The sequence below is a fragment of the Homo sapiens genome, chromosome 10 (genome assembly GCF_000001405.40).
Source record: "Homo sapiens chromosome 10, GRCh38.p14 Primary Assembly".
Classification (NCBI taxonomy): Eukaryota; Metazoa; Chordata; class Mammalia; order Primates; family Hominidae; genus Homo; species Homo sapiens.
In genome coordinates this window covers 101,816,453-101,844,113 of record NC_000010.11, presented here as the reverse complement: position 1 = coordinate 101,844,113, position 27,661 = coordinate 101,816,453, and the positions used below count along the sequence as shown (strand labels likewise).

The 27,661-nt window shown below is 53.3% G+C and overlaps 2 protein-coding genes and 1 long non-coding RNA gene across 19 annotated transcripts in view, besides 17 other annotated features; 2 read left to right on the top strand and 1 right to left on the bottom strand.

Annotated features, from left to right (window-relative positions):
- Nucleotides 92-341: a silencer, noted in NCBI's record as "silent region_2734". NCBI's record gives its function as "represses an Ori minimal core promoter by ATAC-STARR-seq in GM12878 lymphoblastoid cells {active_cell/tissue: GM12878}" and the evidence as "EXISTENCE:reporter gene assay evidence [ECO:0000049][PMID:35858748]".
- Nucleotides 297-802: an enhancer, noted in NCBI's record as "H3K4me1 hESC enhancer chr10:103603069-103603574 (GRCh37/hg19 assembly coordinates)". NCBI's record gives its function as "activates a minimal SCP1, AML or CMV promoter by ChIP-STARR-seq in naive H9 embryonic stem cells {active_cell/tissue: H9 hESC(naive)}" and the evidence as "EXISTENCE:reporter gene assay evidence [ECO:0000049][PMID:30033119]".
- Nucleotides 314-18,140, top strand: KCNIP2 (potassium voltage-gated channel interacting protein 2). Of its 12 annotated transcripts, none has more exons than XM_006717812.3 (10): nucleotides 314-618; nucleotides 12,947-13,042; nucleotides 14,217-14,270; nucleotides 14,915-15,039; nucleotides 15,418-15,487; nucleotides 15,655-15,725; nucleotides 15,856-15,963; nucleotides 16,121-16,225; nucleotides 16,363-16,425; nucleotides 16,844-18,140. In XM_006717812.3, the coding sequence occupies exons 1-10, from the start codon at nucleotides 546-548 to the stop codon at nucleotides 16,904-16,906; spliced, it is 828 nt and encodes a 275-aa protein (XP_006717875.1). In that variant the 5' UTR covers nucleotides 314-545; the 3' UTR covers nucleotides 16,907-18,140. The 12 variants fall into 12 exon arrangements, with proteins under 12 accessions (XP_006717875.1, NP_775283.1, NP_055406.2 ...); NM_173191.3 differs by having other exon boundaries at nucleotides 16,714-18,140; NM_014591.5 differs by having other exon boundaries at nucleotides 14,172-14,270; nucleotides 16,714-18,140.
- Nucleotides 4,088-4,277: a silencer, noted in NCBI's record as "silent region_2733". NCBI's record gives its function as "represses an Ori minimal core promoter by ATAC-STARR-seq in GM12878 lymphoblastoid cells {active_cell/tissue: GM12878}" and the evidence as "EXISTENCE:reporter gene assay evidence [ECO:0000049][PMID:35858748]".
- Nucleotides 7,158-7,658: an enhancer, noted in NCBI's record as "H3K4me1 hESC enhancer chr10:103596213-103596713 (GRCh37/hg19 assembly coordinates)". NCBI's record gives its function as "activates a minimal SCP1, AML or CMV promoter by ChIP-STARR-seq in naive H9 embryonic stem cells {active_cell/tissue: H9 hESC(naive)}" and the evidence as "EXISTENCE:reporter gene assay evidence [ECO:0000049][PMID:30033119]".
- Nucleotides 7,828-8,122: a silencer, noted in NCBI's record as "tiled region #3638; HepG2 Repressive DNase matched - State 12:CtcfO". NCBI's record gives its function as "represses a minimal TATA promoter and a strong SV40 promoter by Sharpr-MPRA in HepG2 cells {active_cell/tissue: HepG2}" and the evidence as "EXISTENCE:reporter gene assay evidence [ECO:0000049][PMID:27701403]".
- Nucleotides 7,828-8,122: an enhancer, noted in NCBI's record as "tiled region #3638; K562 Activating non-DNase unmatched - State 12:CtcfO". NCBI's record gives its function as "activates a minimal TATA promoter and a strong SV40 promoter by Sharpr-MPRA in K562 cells {active_cell/tissue: K562}" and the evidence as "EXISTENCE:reporter gene assay evidence [ECO:0000049][PMID:27701403]".
- Nucleotides 7,869-7,998: a silencer, noted in NCBI's record as "silent region_2732". NCBI's record gives its function as "represses an Ori minimal core promoter by ATAC-STARR-seq in GM12878 lymphoblastoid cells {active_cell/tissue: GM12878}" and the evidence as "EXISTENCE:reporter gene assay evidence [ECO:0000049][PMID:35858748]".
- Nucleotides 12,758-13,274: an enhancer, noted in NCBI's record as "H3K27ac-H3K4me1 hESC enhancer chr10:103590597-103591113 (GRCh37/hg19 assembly coordinates)". NCBI's record gives its function as "activates a minimal SCP1, AML or CMV promoter by ChIP-STARR-seq in primed H9 embryonic stem cells {active_cell/tissue: H9 hESC(primed)}" and the evidence as "EXISTENCE:reporter gene assay evidence [ECO:0000049][PMID:30033119]".
- Nucleotides 13,410-13,489: a silencer, noted in NCBI's record as "silent region_2731". NCBI's record gives its function as "represses an Ori minimal core promoter by ATAC-STARR-seq in GM12878 lymphoblastoid cells {active_cell/tissue: GM12878}" and the evidence as "EXISTENCE:reporter gene assay evidence [ECO:0000049][PMID:35858748]".
- Nucleotides 14,280-14,379: a silencer, noted in NCBI's record as "silent region_2730". NCBI's record gives its function as "represses an Ori minimal core promoter by ATAC-STARR-seq in GM12878 lymphoblastoid cells {active_cell/tissue: GM12878}" and the evidence as "EXISTENCE:reporter gene assay evidence [ECO:0000049][PMID:35858748]".
- Nucleotides 14,500-14,549: a silencer, noted in NCBI's record as "silent region_2729". NCBI's record gives its function as "represses an Ori minimal core promoter by ATAC-STARR-seq in GM12878 lymphoblastoid cells {active_cell/tissue: GM12878}" and the evidence as "EXISTENCE:reporter gene assay evidence [ECO:0000049][PMID:35858748]".
- KCNIP2-AS1 (KCNIP2 antisense RNA 1) lies at nucleotides 15,225-25,046 on the bottom strand. The gene is made up of 3 exons (NR_045118.1): nucleotides 24,866-25,046; nucleotides 16,175-16,254; nucleotides 15,225-15,933 (listed from the first exon to the last, which is right to left on the bottom strand). It is a non-coding gene; the product is annotated as a KCNIP2 antisense RNA 1 (long non-coding RNA).
- Nucleotides 15,329-16,528: an enhancer, noted in NCBI's record as "CDK7 strongly-dependent group 2 enhancer chr10:103587343-103588542 (GRCh37/hg19 assembly coordinates)". NCBI's record gives its function as "activates an origin of replication core promoter dependent on BRD2, BRD4, P300/CBP, MED14 and CDK7 cofactors, with strong dependence on CDK7, by STARR-seq in HCT116 cells {active_cell/tissue: HCT116}" and the evidence as "EXISTENCE:reporter gene assay evidence [ECO:0000049][PMID:35650434]".
- Nucleotides 19,028-19,322: an enhancer, noted in NCBI's record as "tiled region #4495; K562 Activating DNase matched - State 5:Enh". NCBI's record gives its function as "activates a minimal TATA promoter and a strong SV40 promoter by Sharpr-MPRA in K562 cells {active_cell/tissue: K562}" and the evidence as "EXISTENCE:reporter gene assay evidence [ECO:0000049][PMID:27701403]".
- Nucleotides 25,562-26,137: an enhancer, noted in NCBI's record as "NANOG-H3K27ac-H3K4me1 hESC enhancer chr10:103577734-103578309 (GRCh37/hg19 assembly coordinates)". NCBI's record gives its function as "activates a minimal SCP1, AML or CMV promoter by ChIP-STARR-seq in primed H9 embryonic stem cells {active_cell/tissue: H9 hESC(primed)}" and the evidence as "EXISTENCE:reporter gene assay evidence [ECO:0000049][PMID:30033119]".
- Nucleotides 25,641-25,760: an enhancer, noted in NCBI's record as "active region_3917". NCBI's record gives its function as "activates an Ori minimal core promoter by ATAC-STARR-seq in GM12878 lymphoblastoid cells {active_cell/tissue: GM12878}" and the evidence as "EXISTENCE:reporter gene assay evidence [ECO:0000049][PMID:35858748]".
- Nucleotides 25,670-27,661, top strand: part of OGA (O-GlcNAcase) — a 33,995-nt gene continuing 32,003 nt past the window's right edge. For all 6 annotated transcript variants that reach the window (XR_007061939.1, NM_001142434.2, XM_047424515.1 and 3 more), the window contains exon 1: nucleotides 25,670-26,290. Coding sequence is in view for 5 of the 6 variants with exons in the window: in NM_001142434.2 (NP_001135906.1) it covers nucleotides 26,092-26,290 (199 nt within the window). In the remaining variant the exon portion in view is untranslated. The remainder of the gene's footprint in view (nucleotides 26,291-27,661) is intronic.
- Nucleotides 25,911-25,970: a silencer, noted in NCBI's record as "silent region_2728". NCBI's record gives its function as "represses an Ori minimal core promoter by ATAC-STARR-seq in GM12878 lymphoblastoid cells {active_cell/tissue: GM12878}" and the evidence as "EXISTENCE:reporter gene assay evidence [ECO:0000049][PMID:35858748]".
- Nucleotides 26,051-26,110: a silencer, noted in NCBI's record as "silent region_2727". NCBI's record gives its function as "represses an Ori minimal core promoter by ATAC-STARR-seq in GM12878 lymphoblastoid cells {active_cell/tissue: GM12878}" and the evidence as "EXISTENCE:reporter gene assay evidence [ECO:0000049][PMID:35858748]".

Sequence of the window (27,661 nt, the reverse complement as noted above, 5' to 3'; positions counted from 1 at the left end):
CGGGGTGCCTGAGAATTGGGGGCGGGGTTTCCTCCTCTCAGTGGGGCTCTTCTGTCCCGCGCTCTCCTCCTCCCCCACCCCCCCCCCCCGCCAAGCCCCGTGACTTCTGCTTTAGGGGCAGATTGCTGGGGAGCTAGTCTCCTTCCCCGCACTTTGCAGTTCACCCTTTCACCGGGTGCCTCCCCCGGGCTGCAAAGGGTGGGGGGCGGGGGTAGGGGGAGCCAATCCCGGCAGCGCCAAAGAGGGGAGGAGGCGGTGACAGCCGCGGGGAGGGGGCGGGAGGAGAGAGGCAGCTCGGCTCGGCTCCGCGCTCAGCTCCGCTCTGCCTCCGGCTCTGCGCTCACCTGCTGCCTAGTGTTCCCTCTCCTGCTCCAGGACCTCCGGGTAGACCTCAGACCCCGGGCCCATTCCCAGACTCAGCCTCAGCCCGGACTTCCCCAGCCCCGACAGCACAGTAGGCCGCCAGGGGGCGCCGTGTGAGCGCCCTATCCCGGCCACCCGGCGCCCCCTCCCACGGCCCGGGCGGGAGCGGGGCGCCGGGGGCCATGCGGGGCCAGGGCCGCAAGGAGAGTTTGTCCGATTCCCGAGACCTGGACGGCTCCTACGACCAGCTCACGGGTGAGTCAGTGACGTGGGGGTCGCGGGAGGGAGGGTGGATTCCATTCCTCCAGACCCTTCCGCCTCTCCGACCCCGGCCTGGCCCGCACCCACACTCTGCCCCATTCCCAGGCACTCTTATGGCCGGTCTGGGCGGCAGGACACTGGGGGTTCAAAGCCTTGGGTCCCGCAGGGGTTGGGGAGGAACAGAAGAGGCAGGTGTGGAGAGGCAGCAGGTGTGGGCGTATGTGACACAGGGCTGAGAGGGTGTCTGGAGTGGGAGGTGTTACGTGCGTGAGCACCTGTCATTCTGTGTGTGTGTGTGTGTGTGCGCGCGCACCTCCCACAGCTGGTTGCCATGTGCCCTGGGCTTGGTGACAGCTAGGGTGAGTGTGATTGTATGTGGCAGTGCAATTGTATGGTCTCGTCAGATGTTTGAGTTTGCGTAGGACCCTGGTTGTACTGATGAAGTTGTTTTGACCATGTGTCTCTATGTGCAACGATGTGTTGTGAGTGTGTAATTCTGTATGAAGTGGTGTGTAACTACCAGAATGTGTCAGGGCTCTACTTTAGGGTGGCTTGTCTCTTTGTAAGCCTTCATGACCATAAGCCCTCTGGGCAAGAATTTGTTAAAGTAGGTTGTGTTGTGTTTTGTGGTTGTGAGATTAGTGTTCAGTGCTAGTTGTGTACTTTCATGTGGTGATGTCTGCAGCGGGGCTCTGTGAGTGTCTATGACGTGTCTCATCCCTGCTGCCTCTCTGGCTTCCTGGTACAGATAGGGGTCTTTAGTACACCCCACTCCTTCACCAATTTTTCCACAAATAGCCCAGGTGGACCCAAGGAGGGACTTTAGTGTTCAGCTGCCCAGTCTGGTTTCCAAGAGACCTTATGGCTCCAGCACCTGGCCCCTGTAGGGAGGCTTTAGTTAGTGCTGGGTCAGCCCTCTCTCCCCACACCAAATCATGTACTGAGATTATTCTTACAACTGAATCCTTCAACCCCCAACAAACCTTTCAGAACTTCACTCAAACCCCAGGAAAACACATCCTCTTCCTTCCCCTCCAGAGACAGAGCTAGAAGCTCTAGGCCTGGGAAGTGCCATGTGGTGTCCTGCATGTCCACCAAACCACTTGGCTGCCCGGGCATCCTCTCTTTCCCACATGGGGAGGTATGTGAGGCCAGTACATCTGTGCATGTGCATGTTCCTGGGTTTGGTAGGAAGAGCCATGTGTTTGTGTAGGTGACTGTGTCACCCTGGGTACATTTCCATGTATGTGTTTGTGTCTCTCATTGTGCAGCCTGCTCTAGAAAGCCAGCAGAGTGGGAGGAGGGAGGCTGTCTCCCTGAGGCCAAAACAAAGCTGGGGAGGTGGAGGGAGGCCATGATCCTTGTCCTTCCTGAGGGGAGTGAGATTGAGACCTGGGAAGGGGGAGGGGACTAGGATGAGGTGCCTTGAGCATGTGTCTTCCCCCATCCCCCATCACTGTCCCTAGGGAGGCCCTAGTCAGGATCAGGGGAGCCACTCAGGCTGGCCCCAGATGAGAGACCATGCCAGATGTGCCTCAGAGCTGGATGGAATCCAAAGGACCCACTGTCCAGCTCTTCCATGAATTCTGTTCCCATCACCAGCTTAGGATTCTTGAGAGTAGTAAGGGCCTAGGGGCCTTCAATAGTATCACATTAGTCAGTGTTTGCTTCCAGCTTTAATGGGTTCTCACCCTTAGTGAAACCATCCCTTCCCCACTTGGCTATTTGAATGAGATTGGGTGGGGGAAGCATTTGTATTTGGAGATGCCCTGCCCCAGTTCAGTCAGGAATGGAAGTGTACCAGCTATGTGACTTTTGTTCTCTTGGCCTCACCTTTCTCATCTGTAAAAGGGAATGTTACTTCCTGCCTGCCTGCCTACCTCCCAAGGAAAATGGAAAGGTCAAATGTTGACAAGTATCAAGAATTGTGGTCCGGGTCTACAGCAGCCTAGCTGTAGATAGCTCCACACACGACTTGGAAAGTAGAAATAGGACTACCAGGAGCTCTCCTCTCGAAGGGCGGCTTATTTTATAGCGGGAGACAAATCGGGTTGGGACGCCAGTGTCAACGAAGACTCCCGGGCGGGCGGGCGGCGCTGAGCTCTGAGCGCTGAGAGATGCCTAAGCTGAAGCATGAAGGGGAGTCGTTGTCCGCGGTGCTGAAGCGCGCGCCAGGCTTCGCCTCCCCTTCCCTGCAGTTGGGATTCCTGGGATCGGATTTAGGGTAGTCTGCAGCTCCCGTCTTCCCGGCCCATCAGGCTTGCAGGGAAGCAGCTGGAAAGTTACACCTCAGGGCATCCTGGGTACCTCCGAACATTTTACTTCCCCACTCCCACCCCAAGCTCAAAAGGGAGCTGGGAGAGACTCTTTAGGAAAACAAAACAAAACAAAAAACAGTCCGAGCCCCGCCCGGACCCCTGTCTAATCCCTCAGGTCTTCCCAGCCCGGCGGGGCCGCTGGGCAGTGCGGTTCCGAGGGGAAAGGCCGCGTTTAGCAGCGGCCCTGTCTGAGCGGAAGAGAGAAAGGCCAAGAGAAGATGCGGAGAGGGTTGGAGCCTGGCTGGCTAGCCCTGAGCTCGGTCCCCCGACTGGGATCTCAGTGGAGTCCCTCCGGCCCTGAGTATTGTTGCCGGGGCGGGGGCGCCCCCGTGTGGCTGCGAGGAGCCATGCGCACGGAGCTGCTTTGCGGTGGGGATAGTCGCCGTCAAGTGGACAAGATTTGCCCAGAGTTAGGAGGTCATTCTCACCACTTAAATGTAGGGTTTTCAACCAATCATGCGGGATCCCAGTCGAAAGAGCGGGACTATATCTCTCCCGTAGGCTTTCCCAGGAATTTTAAGGCGTTAGAGAGTCCTGGAAGTGTTTACTTGGGGTCTAACCTGATAGAGATGAGTCCGGAGTCCAGGAAAGGGGCGCAGCGGGACCGAAGTGGGGGGGGGGTGCGGGGGGGGCTCTTCTCGAAGCATTCGGCTGTAGCCAGCGTATGGTGGTAGTCTGTGAACCTGCCGCACCGAGACAAACACAAATAGAAACAGTTATGAGAGCAAGGAATTTGGAGCCAGGAGACAGAAGGCAGTGGGGCACAACTCTGCTGCCTCTTCTTTGCCACCCCAATACACTGGCCTCTTTCTCCTTCCTCCTGGCTTTCTTCCATTGGCCCAGGAAGTGTGGGGAGTTGCCATGACAACTCTGTCCTCTTACCCCTTCGGCTCTTTATGCCAAAATGGTGGGGGCGGGGTGCAGGGTGCGGGGAGGAGTGCGACAGGCGGAGAAAGGGGGGCTGAAAGGGGGCAATAAAAGATACGGTTCATTCCCCATCCAGCTCTTTTCTCAAAACCCACATGTGCCTGCCTGGCCTCCCCGCCAGAACCCAGAAAAATGCTCCCTGAGAAGGCTGAGTCCGCGCCGCCCCTCCCCGCCACCCCCCCCCCCCGTCCAGGAACTTTGGGGGCGGCTGCTTCACATGATGGGGCCAGGGTGAGCTCCTCTCGTGCGGCCAGGAGAACATGGGAAGGCTCCAGGGTTTCGATCCTATGCCTGCCGGGCCGGCCCTCCCGCGCCGCCCACGCGGGCCTACCCGGGTGAGGGCGGAGACCGGACCGCCCCGGGGCCTGGGGGTGGAGCTTAGACGCCGAGCTCGCCGCCAAACCATGAACCGATGCCCCCGCAGGTGCCGGAGCCCGCTGGGGCAGGCAGCGCGATCCCTCTACCAGCTGGTGACTGGGTCGCTGTCCCCAGGTATGATGAGGAAGGGAAGGGAGGGGCAGGATCCTTCAAAAAGTGAGCGAAGTGGGTTAGGAGCTCCGCAGAGGTAGGGAGGGAAGGGCCCCTCAAATAGATGGAGGGAGCAACATCCCTCCAAGGAAAGGGCTTCCAAGACGAGATCCTGGACAGAAGCGGAGCAGGGGATGGGCCTCCTTACTGAGCAGGAGGAAGACAGCGCTCTTCAAAGAGGAAAGGAGAGGGGCATCAAGGTCCCTCACAATGGTGGAGGGGGCGGGGCTTCTCACCGAAGGCAGAGGAGGGGGCCTTAACTGAGGGGCAGGGCGCCTCCCAGGGATGAAAGGAGGAGGCCTGCAGCAGAGCAGGGAAAAAGTTCAGTCCTTTCCTGCATTTCTTGGCTGAAGGGGTCTTAAGATGAAGGGTTCAGTGTCCAGAAGGAAAAAACCCTGAGATGGGCCTAGACCAACATGAACTCAGCTAGCAAGTTCATACATGACATGGGACTGATAGACTTGTGTGGCTTAAGGATTGTATGTCTCTGTTTTCTCTCTCTCTGGGAGTGTGTATTAATGGGATTGTGCATTACTAAGTTGTGCATCACTGGGCTATGTATGGCTGAGTCTGTGTCTCCCTGGGGTTGTGATCACTGGGATTCTGTGACACTGAGACTGTGTGTACCTGGAGTTCTGTACTTTAGGACTGGGTTGAGGGTTCCTGAGCCTCTAAGTTGGTTGTGTAGCCTTCGTGAGGTTGTACCTTGGTGTGAAATTTGTGGAGTGTATGAGGTGTGGATTGTTGAGTATCCCACGGCACTGCTGAGGTGTATGCACATCTCCACTTGCATTTCCTTATGACTGCTTGGGCAGGGCCCATAGAACGCAACGTCTCCTCTGTACCTGACCTCAAACAGACCAAAACAACCTGGTCCTGTGGCATTCTGAGATCTGTCATTTTCTGGCTCTCTCCATGGGTATCCACTTGAGCCCCTGGAGTATAGATAGGGCCTGTGGCCTCTCCTTGCCATCTGTCCCCCAAAAGGAGGGTAGATGGATGGTCCTGAGCCAGAACCATACCTGGAAATCTTCTGGGGAGCATACAACCTCCAAGCCCCCTGCTTGGGCCTGTCTCCAGTGACAGATGGCTGGAGCCAGGCAGGGCCAGCTCTCAGTCATTGCAGGCATGACTTCCAGGACCCAAAATAGCCCCAACGTCTAGGGAGGTCATTAATCACTCGATGCAGCTGGGGGCTGCAGTGTCTTTGGCCTAGCTGGGAATGGTGTGGGTCTGGGGGACTGAGAGAAGGGCTTTGAGGTCTTCACTGGCTGGGTTAACAGTGGCGGTGGGGGGTGGGACAAAGCTAAACTGGGGAAGGTGGGACAGTTGCATAGAGTGGGTTCCCCCACAAGGCAGTGTTACTCACATTTGAACTGGGGGAGATAAATAAATAAATGATAGGAATATCTCTGTGGTAAGATTTGAGGGATCTGGGGAAGGCCCACCTCATGCCTCGAGATGGTTTTCCCTTGAGTTCCCACTCTGCCAAATTGCTTCCACAGAGATTTTACTTTGAGTGAAGAGCTAAATTCGTGGCACAGGGATGCTTGGGGAGGATGGATCTGGCAAGTTTCTCACTGAACCCGAGGACTTGAGAAGTCTCTGAGTGGGGAGAAGGGACAGCCTGGAAAAATAACTCATCCTTTCACTCCTGACAGACTCTGCCACAGGATGCCTGGCTGATTTAGGACCATGAGTCCTGGCAAGGCTGGGTCAAGGTCTCTGAGAGTTGAGAGTGGGAGTTAGGAAAAGGAGGGGCCAGGGCCAGGGCCAGGTCCAGGGCAACTGGCTGCAAGTTATCAGTAGCAGGGAGCAAGAAGGGGCTGTTGTGGGGCCCCTTTCCATTCAAATAGTCTGGCTTGGCATTCAAGGTTTCATGGAATTTGACCCTTTTTGATTTTATTACCCATAGCTCCCTTACCTAAACTAAGCTGTAGGCCCTAGGATTCCTTGACACCCCGCACATATTGGAGAGACTGCCTGAGGGAGCTGACAGATCACTGACTCTGGTTAAACAACTCATTATTATTATCATTATTATTATTATTGAGACAGAGTTTTGCTCTTTCAGTCAGACTGGAGTGAAGTAGCGTGATCTCAGTTCACTGCAACCTCCGCCTCCCAGGTTCAAGCAATTCTGCCTTAGCCTCCTGAGTAGCTGGGATTACAGGCAAGCACCATCACGCCTGGCTAATTTTTGTATTTTTAGTAGAGACGGGGTTTCACCATGTGAGTCAGGCTGGTCTTGAACTCCTGACCTTGTGATCCACCCGCCTCGGCCTCCCAAAGTGCTGGGATTATAGGCGTGAGCCACTGCACCCAGCCAAACTCATTCTTAATTAGCATGTCAGCTGTTATCTTGGAAAAAAAATCACTCTTTTTTCCCAAGATAAGCAGGGAGCTTATCTTGGCGGGGAGCTTCAATTCCTTCATCTGCAAAATGGGTATACTATCACTCACTCTGACCATGTCAGCTGTAAAAACAGGAATAATAGATCCTACCTCTCAGGTTTATTATGAGGACTAAGTGAGATACTACATGTAAAGTATCCAGGACACAAAATGTGCTGGATAAATATTATCTTTGTTTATTTGTTTATTTTGAGATGGGGTCTCACTTTGTCATCTAGGCTGAAGTACAGTGGCACAATCATGGCTCATTGCAGCCTCAAACTCCCCACCTTAGCCTCCCAGGTAGCTGGGACTATAGGTGTGTGCCACCACGCCAGGCTAATTATTATTATTTTTTTTTTGAGACAGAGTCTCGCTCTGTTGCTCAGGCTGGAGTGCAGTGGCGTGATCTCGGCTCACTGCAACCTCCACCTCCTGGGTTCAAGCACTTCTCCTGCCTCAGCCTCCCAAGTAGCTGGGATTACAGGTGTGTGCCACCACGCCCGGCTAATTTTTGTATTTTTAGTAGAGACAGGGTTTCACCATTTTGGCCAGGCTGGTCTCAAACTCCTGACCTCGTGATCCACCTGCCTCGACCTCCCAGAGTGCTGGGATTACAGGCATGAGCCACCTTGCCCAGCCCAGGCTAATTTTTTGTAGAGACAGAGTTTCGCCATGTTGCCCAGGCTGGTCTGGGACTCCTGATCCAACCTTTAGGGATTGGCAAGCAATCCCTAAATAGACTTTTTCCTAGGGGAAAGGAGTGGAACAGACCAAGCCTATTTGAGGCCAGACGCGGTGGCACACGCCTGGAATTCCAGCACTTTGGGATGCCGACGGGGGCAGATCACTTCAGGCCAGGAGTTCGAGACCAGCCTGGCCAGCATGACAAAACCCTATTTAAAAATATAAAAATCAGCTGGGCGTGGTGGTGCACGCCTGTAATCCCAGCTATTCGGTGGCTGAGGCACGAGAATCGCTAGCGCCACCGCACTTTAGCCTGGGTGATAGAACGAGACTCTGTCTCAAAAAAAAAAAAAAAAAAAAAGAGAAAAAAAAGCCTGTGTGAAGCGTCATCTTCCCACCTCTTCCCTGGATGGGGCAGGTCGGGGAGAAGGAAGGTGTATGGTACTGTGTGAGGTTGGACGCGTGCCCCCCGGTGGTGGCTGTATAGAACTGCAGATCAGCCAACCTCGACTGGGGCCTTAGGGACTGGCCCCCACCCCACAAATTGGGCTGAGACACAGTCATCCCAGAGCTGGACAAGAGGGAGGGCTCCTTCTGGGGCCAATCCCCCTAAATTGGGCCTCCTGGCTGGGCCAGCTTTCTAAGAAGGGAGCCAGTGTAGTGTGGTGGTTTAGAGTGAAGGCTGAGTCAGACTGGGTTAAAATTGAAGCTCTGATCTTGAAGATTTGCTTAACTTCTCTTTGACTTAGTTTCACCACCTGTAATATGAGGATAATAGTATGCCTTCATAGGCTTATTGTGAAAATTCGGTGTTACAACACCTGTAAGCACATAGTGCATTATCTAGTACATAGTGAATGCTCAGTCACCGTTAGCCAGCAGCGGTAGTAATGGTGTTACTAACCCAGAGGCCCTAGTCTTGTGGCTCATTGGCTCTGTAGGCCTCTCCCCACCCCTTTACACACACAAACACCCCACCAAGAAGAAGCAGGGAAGAGGAGGGAGGGACTCCGGGGATGCTGGCTGGGAGGGGTGGCTCCCTTAGAAGGTTCAGATTTCCCTCCTACAGCAGCTGGGCTTCTCCATCAGCTCAATAACAGTTCCTAAGGAGCAGGCAGGGCTTTAGCATCTCCCGGATGAGGTCCCAGCCACATACGGAGCCAGCACAGTCCCCCCTCCTCTCCCAAGAAGCTTGGGTTTCTTGACCCCAAAGGCAGCTGCAGTAAGTCCCCTCCCCAGAGGGTCCTGATGGGGTTAAGTGGCCTTTTTCTGCCTAGGCTACTACTGTATCTTATCCCCCCTCCCTTGGGCCTCAGTTTCACTGCCTGTGGCCTGTGGGAAGAGAGTGCTTCCCTCCTCACAGTCTCCATGGCAACCAAATCGATATTGGTGATATCCTCCTAGCAGGAGAGGTCACTGCCTTCTCCGCCATTATTCTCATACAATTCCATGCCAATACAATGACAAAACAGTAGACCCACCCTCCAAATTATACAACACATCCATACCTAACAAACTTCAGACCCACATCCTACAACCCTACTAAAACACAGGAACCTCACTCCCCATGCACACTCACAAATACTTCAACACACTCCTACACATGCAGACCATAGACACCCAGCTCACATACCCATATACGCAAGAGTCAAAATGCATAACCATACGCCAAACACACACCTCTGTGACAGGTGCACAGTCACGTGTAAGCACACAAAGACACACATAAGAGGAGACATATGCACTGCCATACTGACAAACACAGGAATATACACACAGGAAAACACCTGGCCACCACAACATATTCTGACCCATGCATCTGATTACTTATACATGTGCAGATGGTGGTTTCTCATGCACATACACCCTGCCCTTCCCTGCCTTCTCCCTAAGCTCAGCTCCTCCCTCTGCCCCTTCCCTTTGGCACAGAGTAGCCACAGGATGTCTAGGGGAAGCACTTCTCAGGGACAGAGGCGGGTCACTGCTCCCTCCCTCTGGCCCATATCTTGGCCAAAAGTTCCCAAGGAGGTGCCAGTCCAAAGGCTGAGGTGGCCCTGCGAAGAGGAAGAGGCGGCGGCTGTGGTTGGGAGGCTTGTGGGGCAGAGGCGGGGTGATGGGGGAGAGGAAGGAGATCCTGGGAGGGAGAGTGGGAGGGAGGCTGCAGGCAGTCCTACTCAGGCTGGGGAGTCTGAGGGGGAGGTGGTGTGAGGCGGTGAACCGGCGTATCTGAACCTGGGCCCTGTAGGGGCCATGCCCCAGGCCCACCATGAACCTGGAAGGGCTGGAGATGGTTGCTGTGCTCGTGGTCCTCGCTCTGTTTGTCAAGGTCCTGGAGCAGTTTGGCCTCTTTGAGCCTGTCTCCTTGGAAGGTAATCCAGGTGTCCTGGCATGTCTGAGCTGCTGGCTGGTGGGGCAGCTGCCCCACAGCACTAGGGAGGGTGTTTGTCTGTCTTCATGACTGGGGCAGGGATGAGCAGGTGAGTGATGGCACAGGGATCTGGGAGGTGAGTAGGGGTGCTTGGGGGATACAACATCTGGGAGGGGTGAAGAGGAGGCCTCAAGGAGTAGATATGGAGGGAGGAGGGAATCTGGGGGACCAAGGTGTCAGGAGGTGATGAGGGGTGCAGTGTGGGAGGACTGGGGTGTGGAGATGAGGAGGTGAGGGGATTCTGGGCGATACCAGGAGGGGTCTGGAGATAGGGAAGGAGTGTCTAGAGTAGAGGAGGGAGGTTCTAGGGATCCTGAGATAACAACGGATTTCTGGGGGGTCCTTTTTGGAGTCAGGGGCCCACCACGGTGCCTGTGCATCCTCTCCACACCTCCATCTGTGCAGTGTAGCTTATGGGGTGTGTGGGCATAGTGTGTGAGAGACACAGGGTGTGACTTTGTGTTCCTGTATGTGAGAGAGTACAAAGTGTGTAACTGTGAGCCTGTGTATGGGACAGGGATATGACTGTATGTGTGAGAGTGACAGGGCATGTGGCTTTGTGAGAAGGTGGATGTGGCCAGGCCTGAGTGGCACAGTATGTGGCTGAGCCTCTGGGTATCAGGTTGTGCATGTGGCTGTTTCCAGAATTTCCTGAGGATATACCAGCTCCATACCCAAGGCTTGGGAGGAGGTGGGTTCTGGAGGGAAGAGTGTGAACATTGTGAAGGAGACATTTATAGCCCAGCTATGATTGGGGATGAGGAGTGGATCAGATCAGGGACCCTGCTTCCCAAGTCCCCTTGCCTCTCCAAGCTCCTATCAGGATCCAAGTGCAGAGTGATCTCCAGGGCCTAGACATTGGGAGTGGAAAATCAACTCCCCTCCCCAGCCCACCCCAAAGTCAGTAGGGAGAGTAATATTGGGGTGGAGTGGGGAGCACTTCTGCCTCCCCCTTGGGAGTTTTGACCTCTCCCTCCTCTTCACGGCTAGAACTGTGTAACTCCGTAGCATGGCTGTTCCCCAGTACCACCAGGGACAGGAAGACAGACTAGAACCATGATGGAGGACTGCAGGGTAGATACCTGGAAGAACTGGAAAAATATGAAGGAAACTGGGAACAAGAGGAAGGTGCATGAATTGCCTGCTCTAGGGTTCAGTAAGAGCAGAAAACTCCTAGCTCACCCTCCATCCTCTGCTGCATTTATTGGGGTGGAGTGGGGAACAGGGAGTTGGACCTAGATAAACTGGGACAGCTGGGCTGAGCTTGTTCTCATTCAATCTGGAAAAGGTGAAGTTGATTGAGCTCTAACTTGCCATTCCTTTTAGATGGGAAAGGGGGAAGAGAGGGCATCTGGAAATCCCAGGAGTCTTGGGCTGAAGGCAGCCATTCTGTTCTCACCTTTAGAGGAGACAGAGGCTTAGAAGCAGGTAGGGGGCTGGGGTGGGGGGCAGGAGAGCCACCCCCGAGTCGGGCAACTACACCATTGGAGGCCCCAGGCGCAATCCAGCTTTGGGAAACTAGAGTCCAGGCTAATGGAGCCCTGGGCCAGAGGCCAGGAATGCCATCGATCCCCCTGCCTGGCCCACTGCCTCCCTCCCACCTCTCCATGGCTCCTGGGGTGGGAGGGAGGTAAGGATGTGTTGAAGGAGAGGAGGTGGTTACTCACCCAGTCACCTCCTGAGAACAGGGCCTGATCTGGAGGGTGAAGCCTGGATTGGGAGGGTGGGGTATATGGAGGGGGAGTAACCTTTAACTAAAGGAAGTTGGACCCCTCCAGGAATGGACTGAGGCCAACTTTAGTCACTGTGTCAGATCCAGTGGGATCTGATCCAGGAATCTGGATGCAGTGCAGCTGGGAGACACAGACACACACACACACACACACACACACACACACACACACACACACAGTAACACTGAGGGTCCTCTGGGGGTGCAATTAGAGCTGTAGAGCATGTGCAGAAATAAGGGAGAAGAGGGGAAGGGGAGCCATGATCAGTGGGCCATGGATAGCCCCACAATACACCAGAATACTCGCCTCCAAGATCTCTTATTGCCACAAAGTTTACTATTATTTCACCCTCAAAGAGCAAGCCATACTGGAAGAGACTGTGAAGGGGCCACAGTTTAGGGTAGATGAGTTAGCTGATGAGGAACCCTGCCCTTTGGCAGAAAGATTCTGGGCACCTTGGAATGAGGAGGGGTTACAGGAAAGAAAAGTGGGTGTACCCAGGAAAAATGAAGCCTCTGTGGGTGAGGTATTGAGGTACAGCCTTAGATATCTGGGTGCCATGGGGACCCAGGTCACAGTATGATATGGATATGTGTCATGACAACCTTGATATGTCTCATAATGTTATAAGGTCACAATGTCATAGTGTTCTTTGTAGACTCACATGTCATGATGTCCCAGAGGCATTGTGTGTTCTTGTGTGGTTTGATCATGCTGTGTGTGAGATGGCCTATATGGGTCTCCATGTGTATGCATCCTGTTTTACTTAGGTCACATTTGTATATGTTTGTGTTAAGGAGTTAGCAGGTCATTGTGTGTGTGTGTGTGAGCATGCATATTACGCCATCAGGTGTGAGTTACTGGATATCAAGCTGTCACTGGCACCCATCACTGTGATGTATTGTTCTACATGTCACTATACACGCCTGTCACTGTAGGTGTGTGTATGAGAGAGGTGTTCTTACCCAGGCAATCCTTGGGTTGGACATCATCCTGAGAGGTCCAGCCATGGCACTTGAGCCAAGGGTACTAGGTCAGCAAAGACACTGAGGCCACTGCCACCTCATCCTTGCCGCCTCGCTGTCACCGGCCACGTCCCATTAAACCAAGTGCCTGAGCCTCACCTCTATGGACTCACTGGGCTCCCCTAACCCGATTCCAACCACCCTTGCCATTCCTTTCCTCCCCTTAATTCCTCCCCCAGCCCGGTCCCCAGATGGGGTTGATTTGTGACTGGCGGGGAGGGGACAGGGAACAGAGGGACAATGGGAGTTAATGTGCCTTCCTGGGGTCTTCTCTCTTCCCAGGCCACCCTCCAGGGCCCACTAAAAAAGCGCTGAAGCAGCGATTCCTCAAGCTGCTGCCGTGCTGCGGGCCCCAAGCCCTGCCCTCAGTCAGTGAAAGCAAGTGCCTCTCATGTGCTTCCGGGGGCGGGGCTCGATGTGTGCGTGCGTGTCTGTGCATGAGTGTGTGCGCGTGTGCCCCAGGCCTGCGAGTGTGCGCATGCTCCAGGCCTGCATGTGTGGGGGGGCGTGCCCCAGGCCTGCGTGTGTGGGGGTGGGGCCTGCCCCAGGCCTGTGCGTGTGTATGTGTGTGCATGTGCGCGCGAGCGTGCCCCAGGCCGGCGTGTGTGTGTGGGGGGGCGTGCCCTACCCCTGCATGTGTGTGGAGGGCGTGCCCCAGGCCCGCGCGCGTGTGTGTGTGTATGGGGAGGCGTGCCGCACGCCTGCGTGTGGGGGAGGGGCGTGCCCCAGGCCTGCGTGCGTGTGTGTGTGTGTGTGTGTGTGTGTGTGGGCGTGACCAGCGTGGCGAGGGCGGGTGCTGGCAAGGCTGGAGCATAAGGGGGCGTGGCTACTGTGTGCGTGTGCGGCTGAAGCCAGCGTGTGTGGGCGTGGTCAGTTGGGAGCGGGTGTGTGTCACCGCTCCCGCAAAACTGTGGGACCCGAGAGTGTGGGTGTGACCATTGTGACCAGGCTGAGGCCTGAGCCTGTGTAGCTGTGGCGGCCTGTGTAGACCAGGCGGCCGTGAGGGTCTGTATGTGGCTTAGCTGGGTTAGTGTCTTCAACTCCGTGCGGCCGCCCCCTTCCCCACCGTGTTTTGGACCCCTGATGTGTGTTGCCTATGCCCCGACAGGATGGTGACAGGTGTAGAGGATGGCGCCTGCCCTCCTCCAGACGCCAGGGTATTTGGGTTTTCTGTGCCAGCCTGGTCCCCTGCTGAGTGATCTCCAGTTGAGTGACCTCGCTTTGTCTCTAGGTCTCCATTTCCTCAGTTGGGCCTTGCCCACCTCATAGGATCATACTGCATTTTGCAAACCATAAAGGCCCGCTTTGTAGTTATTTGAGCATGCTGTTGTGTTGGACTTAGATGGGTCCCACACGGGGGTGGATTCGGAAAAGGACAGGCGTGAGTCCCGCAAGCTTGTGTGCATGGGGTCCGTTTCGTGTGTGTCTGTGCTGGTTGGGTGTGCCTTTGCACGGGCTGGGTTGTGAGGTTTGCTCTGAGTGTGAGGGGCCAGGTGTGTGTCTGCAGTTGGCCGGGTCTTCCGCTTTCTCGGTGACAGTTCGCTCCCTTCAGCATTAGCCGCCCCAGCCTCCCTCCGCCCCCACAGACCCCGCCTGCTGGACCCAGGTGACTTACGCTCCTGGTGGGGGCGGGGCGGGGCAGGGCGGCTTTGCCATCTTGGGGTGGGGGGCACTTGCCTGGGGGCTGGACGTTGGGGGCGGGGCAGGATTGAGATGGGGCCGGGGGTGGGGTCTGGATGGAGGTTGGCTGAGCTGGGCGGGGCATGGCTCAGGCATGGCTGGGATAGATGGGGCTGGGCGGGGCGAGGGGAGGGGCTGGGTGGGACGAGGGGAGGGTTTGGGCGGGGCAAGGCTGGGGCTGGGCGGATCTGAGTTGGTCCCCGAAGGCCCGGAGCTCTGACCCTCAGACGCCCCCTCTTGAACTGGCTTTTCCCACTCCTCCCTTTCTAAAACGAAGATGCGGCTGGGGGCCTTCCCCTCCAACGAGGGATCGAGGGCCGCGGGGCGAGCACTGAGTCGGATCCCTGGCTCTGGGGCCAGGCCAGGCCTTGGCCCGCTGATAGACCTCGAAGATGGCCATCATCTTTTCTCCTTACCTCAGTGTCCTTGGCTCGGGGCCCAGGGAACTGGCAGCCTGGTCTCCGGCATCGGATGGGACCGGGGGGCGGGGAGGGGGTGAATGGGGCAGTGATTTGAAGAGGGGTCGCGGAGGCTGGGCCTGAGGCGCGGCTGTCCTCACCGCTCCCGCAGACAGCGTGGACGATGAATTTGAATTGTCCACCGTGTGTCACCGGCCTGAGGGTCTGGAGCAGCTGCAGGAGCAAACCAAATTCACGCGCAAGGAGTTGCAGGTCCTGTACCGGGGCTTCAAGAACGTGAGTGCAAGGCGAGGCCAAACTCAGCGAGGGTGGGACAGGAGGACCCAAGCCGGTCCACAGCTTCCCAGAAAGCATGGCTTGGATGCTTGAGGTGTGGGCGGAAGGGAGGCAAGGCCCTGAGACTGAACTTCTAGCTGGAGGTTCTGGGGCGGGGCCAGAACGGAAGTGGCGCCTGTAGACTGTCAGTTTCGTTCCATGTTTTTTATTTGTGCACTGGGAAAGAAGTCTTCCCTCCCATCACATGAGCCACGTGGTGAGTCCTCTGGAGGCTTGAAGATTATCCCCCTCCCTGGGAGTCTTGGGCCATGGAGGGTGGGGGCGGTGAACGGAAGGGGATTTTGTCTCTGCCCTCAGCCTGGTGCCCTCTCCTTCCAGGAATGTCCCAGCGGAATTGTCAATGAGGAGAACTTCAAGCAGATTTACTCCCAGTTCTTTCCTCAAGGAGGTGAGGGGACAAGGCCCAAGGGGAAGCAGTTGTCCTTCTCTAGGCTGAGGGAGGGAGGGATTCTGGAGGAGCTGGGAATGCCAAGGTGATGGGGGGTATGGGGAGCTCCTTAGAGGGAGGAAGTCCTCTCCTGTGTGGAAGCCAACTTCTCCACACTCACCCTGCAGACTCCAGCACCTATGCCACTTTTCTCTTCAATGCCTTTGACACCAACCATGATGGCTCGGTCAGTTTTGAGGTGAGCTGGGCGAGGTGGGCCAGGGAAGCCTGTTTCCTGGAGTTCAGGGCCAGGATCTCCAGGCCAAACCCAGAGAAGGAGTTGGGTGAAGAGTACCCGAGGACACAGCTCCCTCCTGCCTCCTTCCCAGGACTTTGTGGCTGGTTTGTCCGTGATTCTTCGGGGAACTGTAGATGACAGGCTTAATTGGGCCTTCAACCTGTATGACCTTAACAAGGACGGCTGCATCACCAAGGAGGTGCAGGGCAACTGAAGGGCTGGGGGTCTGTGGCGGTGATGGGGGTGGCGTGCAGAGGGTGATGGGAGGGAAATATGACCCACATATGCCCACAAGCAAGGGATCAAGGGAGGCTGGAGGCTCTGAGGAAGGATCCTCTTCTCTCTTGGCCTAACAGGAAATGCTTGACATCATGAAGTCCATCTATGACATGATGGGCAAGTACACGTACCCTGCACTCCGGGAGGAGGCCCCAAGGGAACACGTGGAGAGCTTCTTCCAGGTACTTGGGAGTGGGTAGGCTGGAGGGCCCTGGAGTGAAGGGAAGAAGGCCAAGAACCAGCAGGGAACTCACCTGACTTCTGTCTGCCTCTCTCTTGCCATCCCTCCTGTTCTCCCTGCCTGACCACCTTCTTGCAGAAGATGGACAGAAACAAGGATGGTGTGGTGACCATTGAGGAATTCATTGAGTCTTGTCAAAAGGTACAGCTCCCTGCCCTCTACATTACCCTGACCTGGACTCAGGCCTGATTTAGTAATGCAGGGAAAAGCTTCTTTGGGAAGAATACCACCTTCCCACCTCACCCCCATATTTCAATCCTATTCCTTTGTGGGAGGCTTACCCCTTCCCTACCTCAGGTCTCTCTGGGCATCTCCTTCCTCTGTGCTTTTGAATGTCCCCGTCTGTGACTCAGTGTCCCTCTCACTGTCTCTGATAAGCTCCTTCTCTTTCTCTCTCTTCAATCTGCCTCGCTCACATCATGGCCACAGGATGAGAACATCATGAGGTCCATGCAGCTCTTTGACAATGTCATCTAGCCCCCAGGAGAGGGGGTCAGTGTTTCCTGGGGGGACCATGCTCTAACCCTAGTCCAGGCGGACCTCACCCTTCTCTTCCCAGGTCTATCCTCATCCTACGCCTCCCTGGGGGCTGGAGGGATCCAAGAGCTTGGGGATTCAGTAGTCCAGATCTCTGGAGCTGAAGGGGCCAGAGAGTGGGCAGAGTGCATCTCGGGGGGTGTTCCCAACTCCCACCAGCTCTCACCCCCTTCCTGCCTGACACCCAGTGTTGAGAGTGCCCCTCCTGTAGGAATTGAGCGGTTCCCCACCTCCTACCCCTACTCTAGAAACACACTAGACAGATGTCTCCTGCTATGGTGCTTCCCCCATCCCTGACCTCATAAACATTTCCCCTAAGACTCCCCTCTCAGAGAGAATGCTCCATTCTTGGCACTGGCTGGCTTCTCAGACCAGCCATTGAGAGCCCTGTGGGAGGGGGACAAGAATGTATAGGGAGAAATCTTGGGCCTGAGTCAATGGATAGGTCCTAGGAGGTGGCTGGGGTTGAGAATAGAAGGGCCTGGACAGATTATGATTGCTCAGGCATACCAGGTTATAGCTCCAAGTTCCACAGGTCTGCTACCACAGGCCATCAAAATATAAGTTTCCAGGCTTTGCAGAAGACCTTGTCTCCTTAGAAATGCCCCAGAAATTTTCCACACCCTCCTCGGTATCCATGGAGAGCCTGGGGCCAGATATCTGGCTCATCTCTGGCATTGCTTCCTCTCCTTCCTTCCTGCATGTGTTGGTGGTGGTTGTGGTGGGGGAATGTGGATGGGGGATGTCCTGGCTGATGCCTGCCAAAATTTCATCCCACCCTCCTTGCTTATCGTCCCTGTTTTGAGGGCTATGACTTGAGTTTTTGTTTCCCATGTTCTCTATAGACTTGGGACCTTCCTGAACTTGGGGCCTATCACTCCCCACAGTGGATGCCTTAGAAGGGAGAGGGAAGGAGGGAGGCAGGCATAGCATCTGAACCCAGTGTGGGGGCATTCACTAGAATCTTCAATCAACCTGGGCTCTCCCCACCCCACCCCAGATAACCTCCTCAGTTCCCTAGGGTCTCTTCTTGCTTGACTCAATCTACCCAGAGATGCCCCTTAGCACACCTAGAGGGCAGGGACCATAGGACCCAGGTTCCAACCCCATTGTCAGCACCCCAGCCATGCGGCCACCCCTTAGCACACCTGCTCGTCCCATTTAGCTTACCCTCCCAGTTGGCCAGAATCTGAGGGGAGAGCCCCCAGAGAGCCCCCTTCCCCATCAGAAGACTGTTGACTGCTTTGCATTTTGGGCTCTTCTATATATTTTGTAAAGTAAGAAATATACCAGATCTAATAAAACACAATGGCTATGCACAGGCTGCCGTCTCTGCCTTTTGTCCCTCCCACCTACAAATACTACACAACCCCTAACGAATGCACCTGCAGCCTTTTAGATCCCCAAGAAAGTGGCTTTCTTTTCCATAGTTGGCCATACCTTGGCATGAGACTGAGACACAGGCTCTGGAATGGTTGGAAACCCACCCAACCTCAGGCCCCCACATGAATCTCCCTCCCACACAGCCTGAGAGGAGACAAGGAAGGAAGGACAGGACACTGATGTCCCGAAGACTGTGCCAAGCAAGCTGTTTTTTAGCTGACATTCTTACAAGTTGAATCACAGATTTCTAATTTACAGACTTTTTAGTTAATCTCAAAGTGCTTTCTTTTGAGGGGCCTCCCTTTAGTTTCTTTCTTTTTTTTTTTTTTCTGAGACAGAGTGTCTCTCTTTCGCCCAGGCTGGAGTGCAGTGGCGTGATCTTGGCTTTACTGCAGCCTCCGCTTCCTGGGTTCAAGCAATTCTCCTGCGTCAGCTTCCCGAATAGCTGGGATTAAAGGCGTGCACTGCCATGCCCGGCTAATTTTTGTATTTTTAGTAGAGACAGGGTTTCGCCATGATGGCCAGGCTGGTCTCAAACTCCTGACCTCATGTGATCTGCCCGCCTAAGCCTCCCAAAGTGTTGGTTACAGGCGTGAGCCACCATGCACAGACCTTCCCTTTAGTTTCTAATGAAAGTTCCTTTGTGTCAACATTCCAACCTTGCCTCCAGTATAGATAAATATTTTTTGTGTCCATACCCCAGCCAGGAATGATGGGGGAATGAGATGGAGTGGACCCAGCGCAGGTCACCATGAGGCAGATGGCACAAAGGATGACATGGACTTTCTGTGTGTTCCCACTCTTTCTTTGTTCTGCTCCTGCAGAGGGACCCACCAATGGTTGGTTCCTCTCATCCTTTCTCTGGGTCACCATTATGGGTGACTAAGCTTCACCATCCATAGGAGGAGTAACAGGCCTTATCCTCCCTCGTGATGAAGTCAAGGGGAGAGATATGTTGTCCAAAAAGCAAAAACTCACTTTTAGCGTCCATTGTTTTATCATCTGTGTTCCCTGCTTATATCATCAAAGAACCATCTGCTTCTTGGGCCCTTGGGTTTCTTTGAGTCATCAACATAAAGATCTGATAAAAGCTGTGGGCCCACTATCCAGAAGAAAGAAAAAGGCAAGAATTCCCATGCATTTTTGTATCCCTGAAGCTCATCTATGGGTCCTAAGTTAAGAACCTGTGATCTAGAGTGAGTGCAGCGGCTCACGCCTGTAATCCCAGCACTTTGGGAGGCTGAGGTTGGTGGATCACTTGAGGTCAGGAGTTCAAGACCAGTTTGGCCAACATAGTGAAACCTCATCTCTATTAAAAATGCAAAATTAGCTGGGCATGGTGGCGCATACGTGTAATCCCAGCTACTTGGGAGGCTGAGGCCAGAGAATCGCCTGAACCTGGGAAGCGGAGGTTGCAGTGAGCCGAGATGGCACCACTGCACTCCAGCCTGGGCAACAGAATGAGACTCTGTCTCAAAAAGAAAAGAACATGTGATCCAGTCTAACCCTCCATTTCATAGAAGAAGCAGGCTCAGAGAAGGGAGACTTGCTCAAGGTCACTCAGTGAGTTTGTAGCAGGACTGAGGCTAGACTCAATCCCTCAAGTCTGTCAACAGTGGCCTTTGGGCACAGTCAAGAGTTGTATGTGGGCCGGGCGCAGTGGCTCACACCTGTAATGCCAGCACTTTGGGAGGCTGAGGTGGGCAGATCACGAGGTCAGGAGATTGAGACCATCCTGGATAACACAGTGAAACCCTGTCTCTACTAAAAATACAAAAAATTAGCCGGGCATGGTGGCAGGCGCCTGTAGTCCCAGCTACTCGGGAGGCTGAGGCAGGAGAATGGCGTGAACCCAGGAGGCGGAGCTTGCAGTGAGCCGAGATCGTGCCACTGCACTCCAGCCTGGGTGACAGAGCGAGACTCCATCTCAGAAAAAAAAAACCAAAGAATTGTATGTGAAGAGTGGATGCTGTGCATGTTATGCATAATCCAAGCAAAGTGACACTATGACAGGCTCTCACAATGCCCTCTGCTTTTCCTTTATGGCACTTCTCAGTTTGTAACCATATACTTACTTGGGTAATTATATACTTGTCTTCTCCTATACACTGTAAGTTCCTGAGGGCTCCCTGAGTGCCTGGACTAGGGTTTTTTTCTTCACCATCTTATCCATGGGGCCTGGCACACAATAATGGATGTAAGGACATCCATTATTCAGTAAATAATAATGGATGAAAGTACATGGTGAATGTGTGTATATAATTACATAGGTATGGAGACAGTTGTTTTTTCTTTTGAGACTGGGTCTCACAATCTCAGCTCACTGCAGCCTCCACCTCCCAGGCTCAGGTGATCCTCCCACCCCAGCCTCCCAAGTAGCTGGGACCACAGGTGCACACCACCACGCCTGGCTAATTTTTTGTATTTTTGGTAGAGACAGGGTTTCACCACATTGCTCAGGCTGGTCTCGAACTCCTGAGCTCAAGCAGTGTGCCCACCTCAGCCTCCCAAAGTGCTGTGATTACAGGTGTGAGCCATCACGCCTTGCCCAGTTTCCATTTTCTAAGGTAGATTCAAGTTTAGTGGGATTGAAGCAGAGAACTGCTAGTAAGCTGAGAAGTGCCCCAGAGCCCAAGCCTACAGATGAGATCCAGAAAAAAAACAGTAGGTTGGCATTCAGATTGTCACCCAGGCTGGAGTGCAGTGGAGTGATCTCCACTCACTACAACCTCCGCCTCCCGGGTTCAAGCGATTCCCCTGCCTCAGCCTCCGAGTAGCTGGGATTACAAGCACATGCCGCCATGCCTGGCTAATTTTTATATTTTTAGTAGAGACGGGGTTTCGCCATATTGGTCAGGCTGGTCTCGAACTCCTGACCTCAGGCGATCCACCCGCCTCAGCCTCCCAAAGTGCTGTGATTACAGGTGTGAGCCACTACGCCAGCCTCAGATTATTTCATCTTGGCCATTGGTTGGGTTCTGAGTGTTGTCAGCTGCTCCATCTCAAAATACTCTCCTTTCTTGCCTTCCAGTATTTCCTACGCTCCTGGTTTTCCTCGTGCCCTTCTGGCTACCCCTTCTCAGCCCTCCCTTATAGACTCATCCTTCTCAACTTGAATTTTAAATCTTAGGCCCTACAGCTCAGACCTAAGCCTCTTTTCCAAACCACCCCTAATCCCATGGCTTTAAACACCGTCGATATGCAGAGGCTCCTAAGTTTATATCCCCAGAACTCTCTCTTCTGAAATCCAAAACCTGTCTATCCAATTGCCCCCCGCTTTTTTTTTTTTTTTCCTGTCACCCAGGCTGGAGTGCAGTGGTACAATCACAGCTCACTGCAGTCTCAAACTCCTGGGCTCCAGCGATCCTCCCACCTCAGCCTCCAGAGTAACTGGGACTACAAGTGTGTGCCACCCACACCCTGCTAATGTTTTAATTTTTTGTAGAGATGGGGTCTCACTATGTTGCCCAGGCTGCTCTTGAACTCCTGGGTTCAAGTGATCCTCCTCCAGTCTCAGCTTCCCAAAGTGCTGAGATTACAGGAATGAGCCACCGTGCCTAGTCCAATTGCCTATTTGATATATTAATGTGGACCTGTAATGGTTGAACTTAACATGTTCAAAATGGAGCTTAGATTCATGCCTTTCCAGTCTTTCCCATCTCAGTAAATGACACCAACATCCATCTAGTTGCTCAGGTCGAAATTTAGAAGTCTCCATTTCTTCCTCTCCTTCATTCTCCCTCCACCCCCATTTAATCAATCACCAATTCTACCACCAAAGGTACACCACCTCTCTCTCTCTGATGCTGTTTCCTAGCCCAAGCCACTATTGCTACTCACCTAAATTACTCCTTCCTATTTGTCCATCTGAAGTAGCTCCTCCTTGATGCAGTTGGCAGGTTTCTTCCCTTAATAGCCCTTACCACAAACTGTGAGTTCCTATGTGTGTACTGAATTTGTTATTGTCTGGTTCTCCAAACAGAATGTAAAATCTGTGAGGGCAGGGCCCTATCTCATTCATTCCGCAAATATTCATCATAGGTCTACTAAGCACTGTTACTGTTGTAGGTGTTGGGGGTGGGTGGAGAGAGGTGTGGTATGGTGAGAAAGTGTATAGCAGTTATGTGGCAAGAACCACTCTTCAAATTTGAGGGACACAGAAATGGGGCAAACCTTCCCTATGAGACTGGACTATGGAAAGTAGGAGAAATTGTGGCTGCTGACTTGCTGGCAGTGATTAAGGCAAAGAGGAAAATGTCATGAGACTAAGGACATCAGCCAGAATGACAGCCCCCAAATCTCCTGTCAACCTATAAGGAAGAAGCTGAGGCAAAATGAATACAAGTAGAGAGTTTATTATAAGCTTGAGGATTGCAACGAAAGAGCATAGATTCAAGTTGCCCTAAATAGACACTCTGATTAGCAGCAGTTACAAGTGGATTTTTATAGGGAAAGAAGAGGCAGTTCCTGAGTTATTTACCAACAGTTTACATTAAAATAACATAAGCTATTGATTGGCTATACATTGTTAAACTATAGGGTGTGTGTTAGAATGTCCAGTACAACATTATTAGGTTAATTTATAGCTACTTGTGGCAAGAGCAAGCAGTGTCAAGAGATGAATACATAGCTCAAAGGAGGGAGGCATAGGATGTGATTCTGTCATTTTCTTTTCTTTTTTTTTTTTTTTGAGACTGAGTCTCACTCTGTTGCCCTGGCTGGAGGGCAGTGGCACGATCTTGGCTCACTGCAACCTCTGCCTCCCAGGTTCAAGTGATTCTCCTGCCTCAGCCTCCCAAATAGCTGGGATTACAGGCGCGCACCACCATGCCCAGCTATTGTTTGTAGTTTTAGTAGAGACGGAGTTTCAACATGATGGCCAGGCTATTCTTGAACTCCTGACTTTCTGCCCGCCTTGGCCTCTCAAAGTGCTGGGATTACAGGCGTGAGCCACTGAGCCCGGCTGATTCTGTCATTTTAATGCCTCGCTGGGCCTATTTATTTATTTTTAATTTTTAAAGATTTATTTATTTTTTAATTTTTTTTTTTTTAGAGGCAGGGTCTTGTTCTGTGGCTCAGGCTGGAGTGCAGTGGTGAGATCCTAGCACTACAGGTGCACACCACTACGCCTGGCTTTTTTTTTTTTTTTTTTTTTTTGTTTTTTTTTTGAGATGGAGTTTAGCTTTTGTTGCCCAGGTTGGAGTGCAATGGCACGATCTCGGCTCACGCAACCCGGGTTCAAGTGATTCTCCTGCCTCAGCCTCCCGAGTAGCTGGGATTACAGGCATCTGCCACCATGCCCAGCTAATTTTGTATTTTTAGTAGAAACGGGGTTTCTCCATGTTGGTCAGGCTGGTCTCGAACTCCCGACCTCAGGTGATCCATCTGCCTCGGCCTCCCAAAGTGCTGGGATTACAGGTGTGAGCCACCACGCCCGGCCTATTTTTATTTTTTTATAAAGACTGGGTCTGGCAATATTGCCCAGGCTGGTTGCAAACACCAACACTGCGCCCAGCCATCTGGGCCTGATAATTTAAAAGGACTCTCATTCCTCAGATAAAAGTTCTTTTCGGCCAGGTGAGGTGGCACGTGTCTGTAATCCCAGCACTTTGGGAGGCTGAGACTGGAGGATCACCTGAGCCCAAGAGTTTGAGACCAGCTTGGGCAAGATGTTGAGACCCCCGTCTCTACCAAAAATGAACAAATTAAAAGAGTGTGGTGGCGGGCACTCGCCTATAGTCCCAGCTACTCGGGATGGCTAAGGCGGGAAGATCCCTTGAGAGCCCAGGAATTCGATACTTAAGCTATGATTGCACTAGCCTGCGTGGCAAAATGAGACCTCTTCTCTTACAAAAAAAAAAAAAAAAAAAAAATTGTGTTCTCAACCCCAACGGACCACAATATCCAGTAAAGCTGCTATGGCCCCTAACTCTCAGCACAGGAGGTCCCTTAAGAAAATGCTTGTCCGGCCGGGCGCGGTGGCTCACACCTGTAATCCCAGCACTTTGGGAGGCCGAGGCAGGTGGATCACCTGAGGTCAGGAGTTCAAGACTAGCCTAGTCAACGTGGCGAAACCCCGTCTCTATTAAAAACACAAAATTAGCCGGGTGTGGTGGCGGGTGCCTGTAGTCTCAGCTACTCGAGAGGTTGAGGCAGGAGAATAGCCTGAGCCCAGGAGGTGAAGGCTGCAGTGAGCCGAGATTGCGCCACTGCGCTCCTGCGCTCCAGCCTGGGCGACAGAGTGAAACTCTGTCTCAAAAAAAAAAAAAAAGTTTGCTCCTAACCCCCATCTCAACAATCCAGGACTGAAAAGAAGAGGGACCATGAAAGTCCCTGAAACTACAAGTTGGGCTACGGCTAAAGAAGGTAAATATCAGACTGAAGTGTAAGATGGACATTACTAAGTCTTAATCATCATTTCATGTTTATACCTCACAGGTTGAGATAGATTTCTCAAGCATCATAAATGTAAAGTGCATTAGGGTAGGTCTACAAGAGAGCTCTGAGAACATACAGCAAGGAGACCCAAACCCATCTAGGGCTCAGGGAAGGCTTCCCAAGGAAGCGATGCCCATGCCGAGGCCGAAGGGATCTCATGCCCCACTGCACACACCGCGCGCTCCCCATTCCCAAACAAGGCAGGCTTTTCATGCCTCCCTACCTTTGGACTCTGTTGTTCGTTCCACTTTCCTGGAGTGCTGTCTTCCCTCCCCTTCTGCTCAGTCAGGCTAACTTCACATCCTTTATAATCCAGCTGAAAAGTGAAGCCATGCCCACGGCCTCTCCCCAAAGGAGGAGTGAGTATCACCTGTTCTGAGCTCCGAAGTTCTTGGGGACACCTTGTGGGAACTGCGTGTGTGGTGGCTTGTCTCCACCACCGTACTGTGAGCTCATAGTGTTCTAGAGCCCAGCACGAGGCAAGCTCTATAGATGTCTACTGAATGAAGGAATGAACGAATGATTACATTTTAAATGGGATTAGGGGAAAATGATTCAAGGCAGAGGGGTGAGCTGAGCTCCTTGGAATGGTGTCTTTACCGAACCAAGCCTGGGTTAGGCAGATGTAATGAGCCCACCTATTACAAGAATCTCCATAGAAAGTAGGTCAGTTCTTTCCTATCTCTTTAAGAACGAGAGGCCGCGGCTCCGCGCCTGCGCACTGAGAGAATAAACACCTCTCCTTTTCACCTTCCCCCCTTCTCCCTATTGCCCCAACCGGCGGCAGCCTCCTCCCATACTCCCCTCCTTCGGGGCGGGTAATGGTCCGTCCGTCCCAGGGTGCCAGGCTTGTTTCGGAGGGTGGCAAGCAGAAATGGTACATTCCACTGCCTTCATTACCTTCTGCTTTTCGCGTCTCCTGTTCTATTTCCCCCTACCTAAAGAAGCTTAATAGGCTAGCCCCAAAGAAGGCGGGGGAGCCGGGCGGAGGGGACCGGTCTGAGCCGGTCTGCAGCGCAAGCGCAGTGCGGATAAACAGGAAGCGGGCGGTGGAGGCAGCAGCAGAGGGAGAGCTCGGGGCTTGGAGGGGAAACAGCGGAAGACCTAAGATTATCGGGAGGGCAGCAGAGGCAGAGAACGAGGACAGGACCCTTGGCCGTCTTCTTCCAGGGAACGAGAGGTCACAGCCTCGCTCTCCGCTTAGGCTTCTGGCGCCCCAGCTTAAAGCCGAGGCTGCGGCTGACAAAGGGCTCGCGCCGGTGCCGCCGCCCTTCTCATCCGGGCATTCGGGTCCCTGCGGAGAGGGAGGGGGAAGGGCAGAGGGGGAGGGGAAGGAGCCGGAGGGGCGCACACTTGGAGCTGAAGCCCTCTCCAGGGCTCCGGGCCGGTGCCCCAACGGACAGAGGTCGAGGAGGACCCGCAGAGGTGGCAGCGGCCGGGGGCAGGAGGATGGTGCAGAAGGAGAGTCAAGCGACGTTGGAGGAGCGGGAGAGCGAGCTCAGCTCCAACCCTGCCGCCTCTGCGGGGGCATCGCTGGAGCCGCCGGCAGCTCCGGCACCCGGAGAAGACAACCCCGCCGGGGCTGGGGGAGCGGCGGTGGCCGGGGCTGCAGGAGGGGCTCGGCGGTTCCTCTGCGGTGTGGTGGAAGGTGAGCGCCCTCCTTCCCTCCCCGTTTTGGCACTAACACGTTCTGTCCTCGGGAGGAGGGTGGTGGCGGGGATTTTGGAGACTCTAAAAGGCCGGAAAGCCTCTGGGTCTGAAATGTGGCCCTCCTAAAGCGAGGGGAGAGACGAGATGTTGGGCGAATCTCCTTGCACGTCTTAAGACGGCGTCGAATTCCCCCCTGGCCACTCACAAGTCTGACCCCACCCGTCTTGGGCTTGGAGCCAGGCCACCTCCTAAGGAGGCGGTGGTTAAGAGCCTGGTGTTCTGTTAGCCTCTGAGTTCTACTTCTTTGTACCTTGGGATCTTATTCCCTAGGGTTGTCTGGTTCCAGTGAAAAAATATGTGTAGTGCTTCTGTCACCACCCTTTGTGGAAAATCGGCCCACACTGACGTGCTTGTACTTCTGGAGTGAAGAGAAGCACGTTTGGCCTATAGTATTTCAAGTTCCACTTGGCTTAGAATATTTTTGTTGCTTCCCCCCACCCCCGCAAAGATTCATTTGCAACTTAGAAAATTGCCCTCTTTCCCAGCTACTGTACTTTGCTCTCGAGGGATGAAACTTTGGCTTTAATCACAGATTCTCGAAGTATCTGAGATGCGTAATTGGAATTTAGTGACCGCAGAAGCGGCTTTAAAAATGCCCTTCTCGCCTTTTTTCCCATTTACAGTCGAAAAGAACGATGGACTTTTTGGTAGTGAGGGAAAATTACCAGATGCTTGTTTCAGTTTCTGGATGAGAATGGACAGATAGTCCACCTTGCAGCTCTGTAGAGGCACGAATCGGTTACATTATTAGTCTTTCCGCAGTTACAGCATGTATTTGAATTTTCTGAAGTATTTTGGCCGATTCAGAGTTTCCTAGATGTCTGTTTTATATCTCTCTCGTATGTAATGGCGTGGATAAGGGTAAAAAATATATATATTTAAAAAACCAAAAAGGTATGGAAAAAGGATTGCTCTCGACGTTGAGAACATCAGCTTTTCTGTTTTTTTTCACCATATAAATTAGAGTATTCTTTCGAAAAATGGGTGGTGGTTATGGTACAGACCATAACAGGCTACTTTGCTGCTACAGTAAGGCATGAAAGAGTTCAGCGAAGTTAACTGTCTTGCAGAATTTGGGGGATTACAGAATGGAAAACTGCTATATAGTATTCATCAAAAATGATTGCATTGTGTGACTTATATCGTTGTATTTATTGGCTTGAGTGCAGGGAGATTTTAGAAAAAGAATCTGGTTTTTGTTATCAAAGATCTTGGAGTGGGGATGAGAGAGTGCTGGGAAATTTCGGAGCTAGACTGGAATGAGTCTAAGGAAACTTGCCAGTCCATTATACCTTCAGTTATAAAAGGA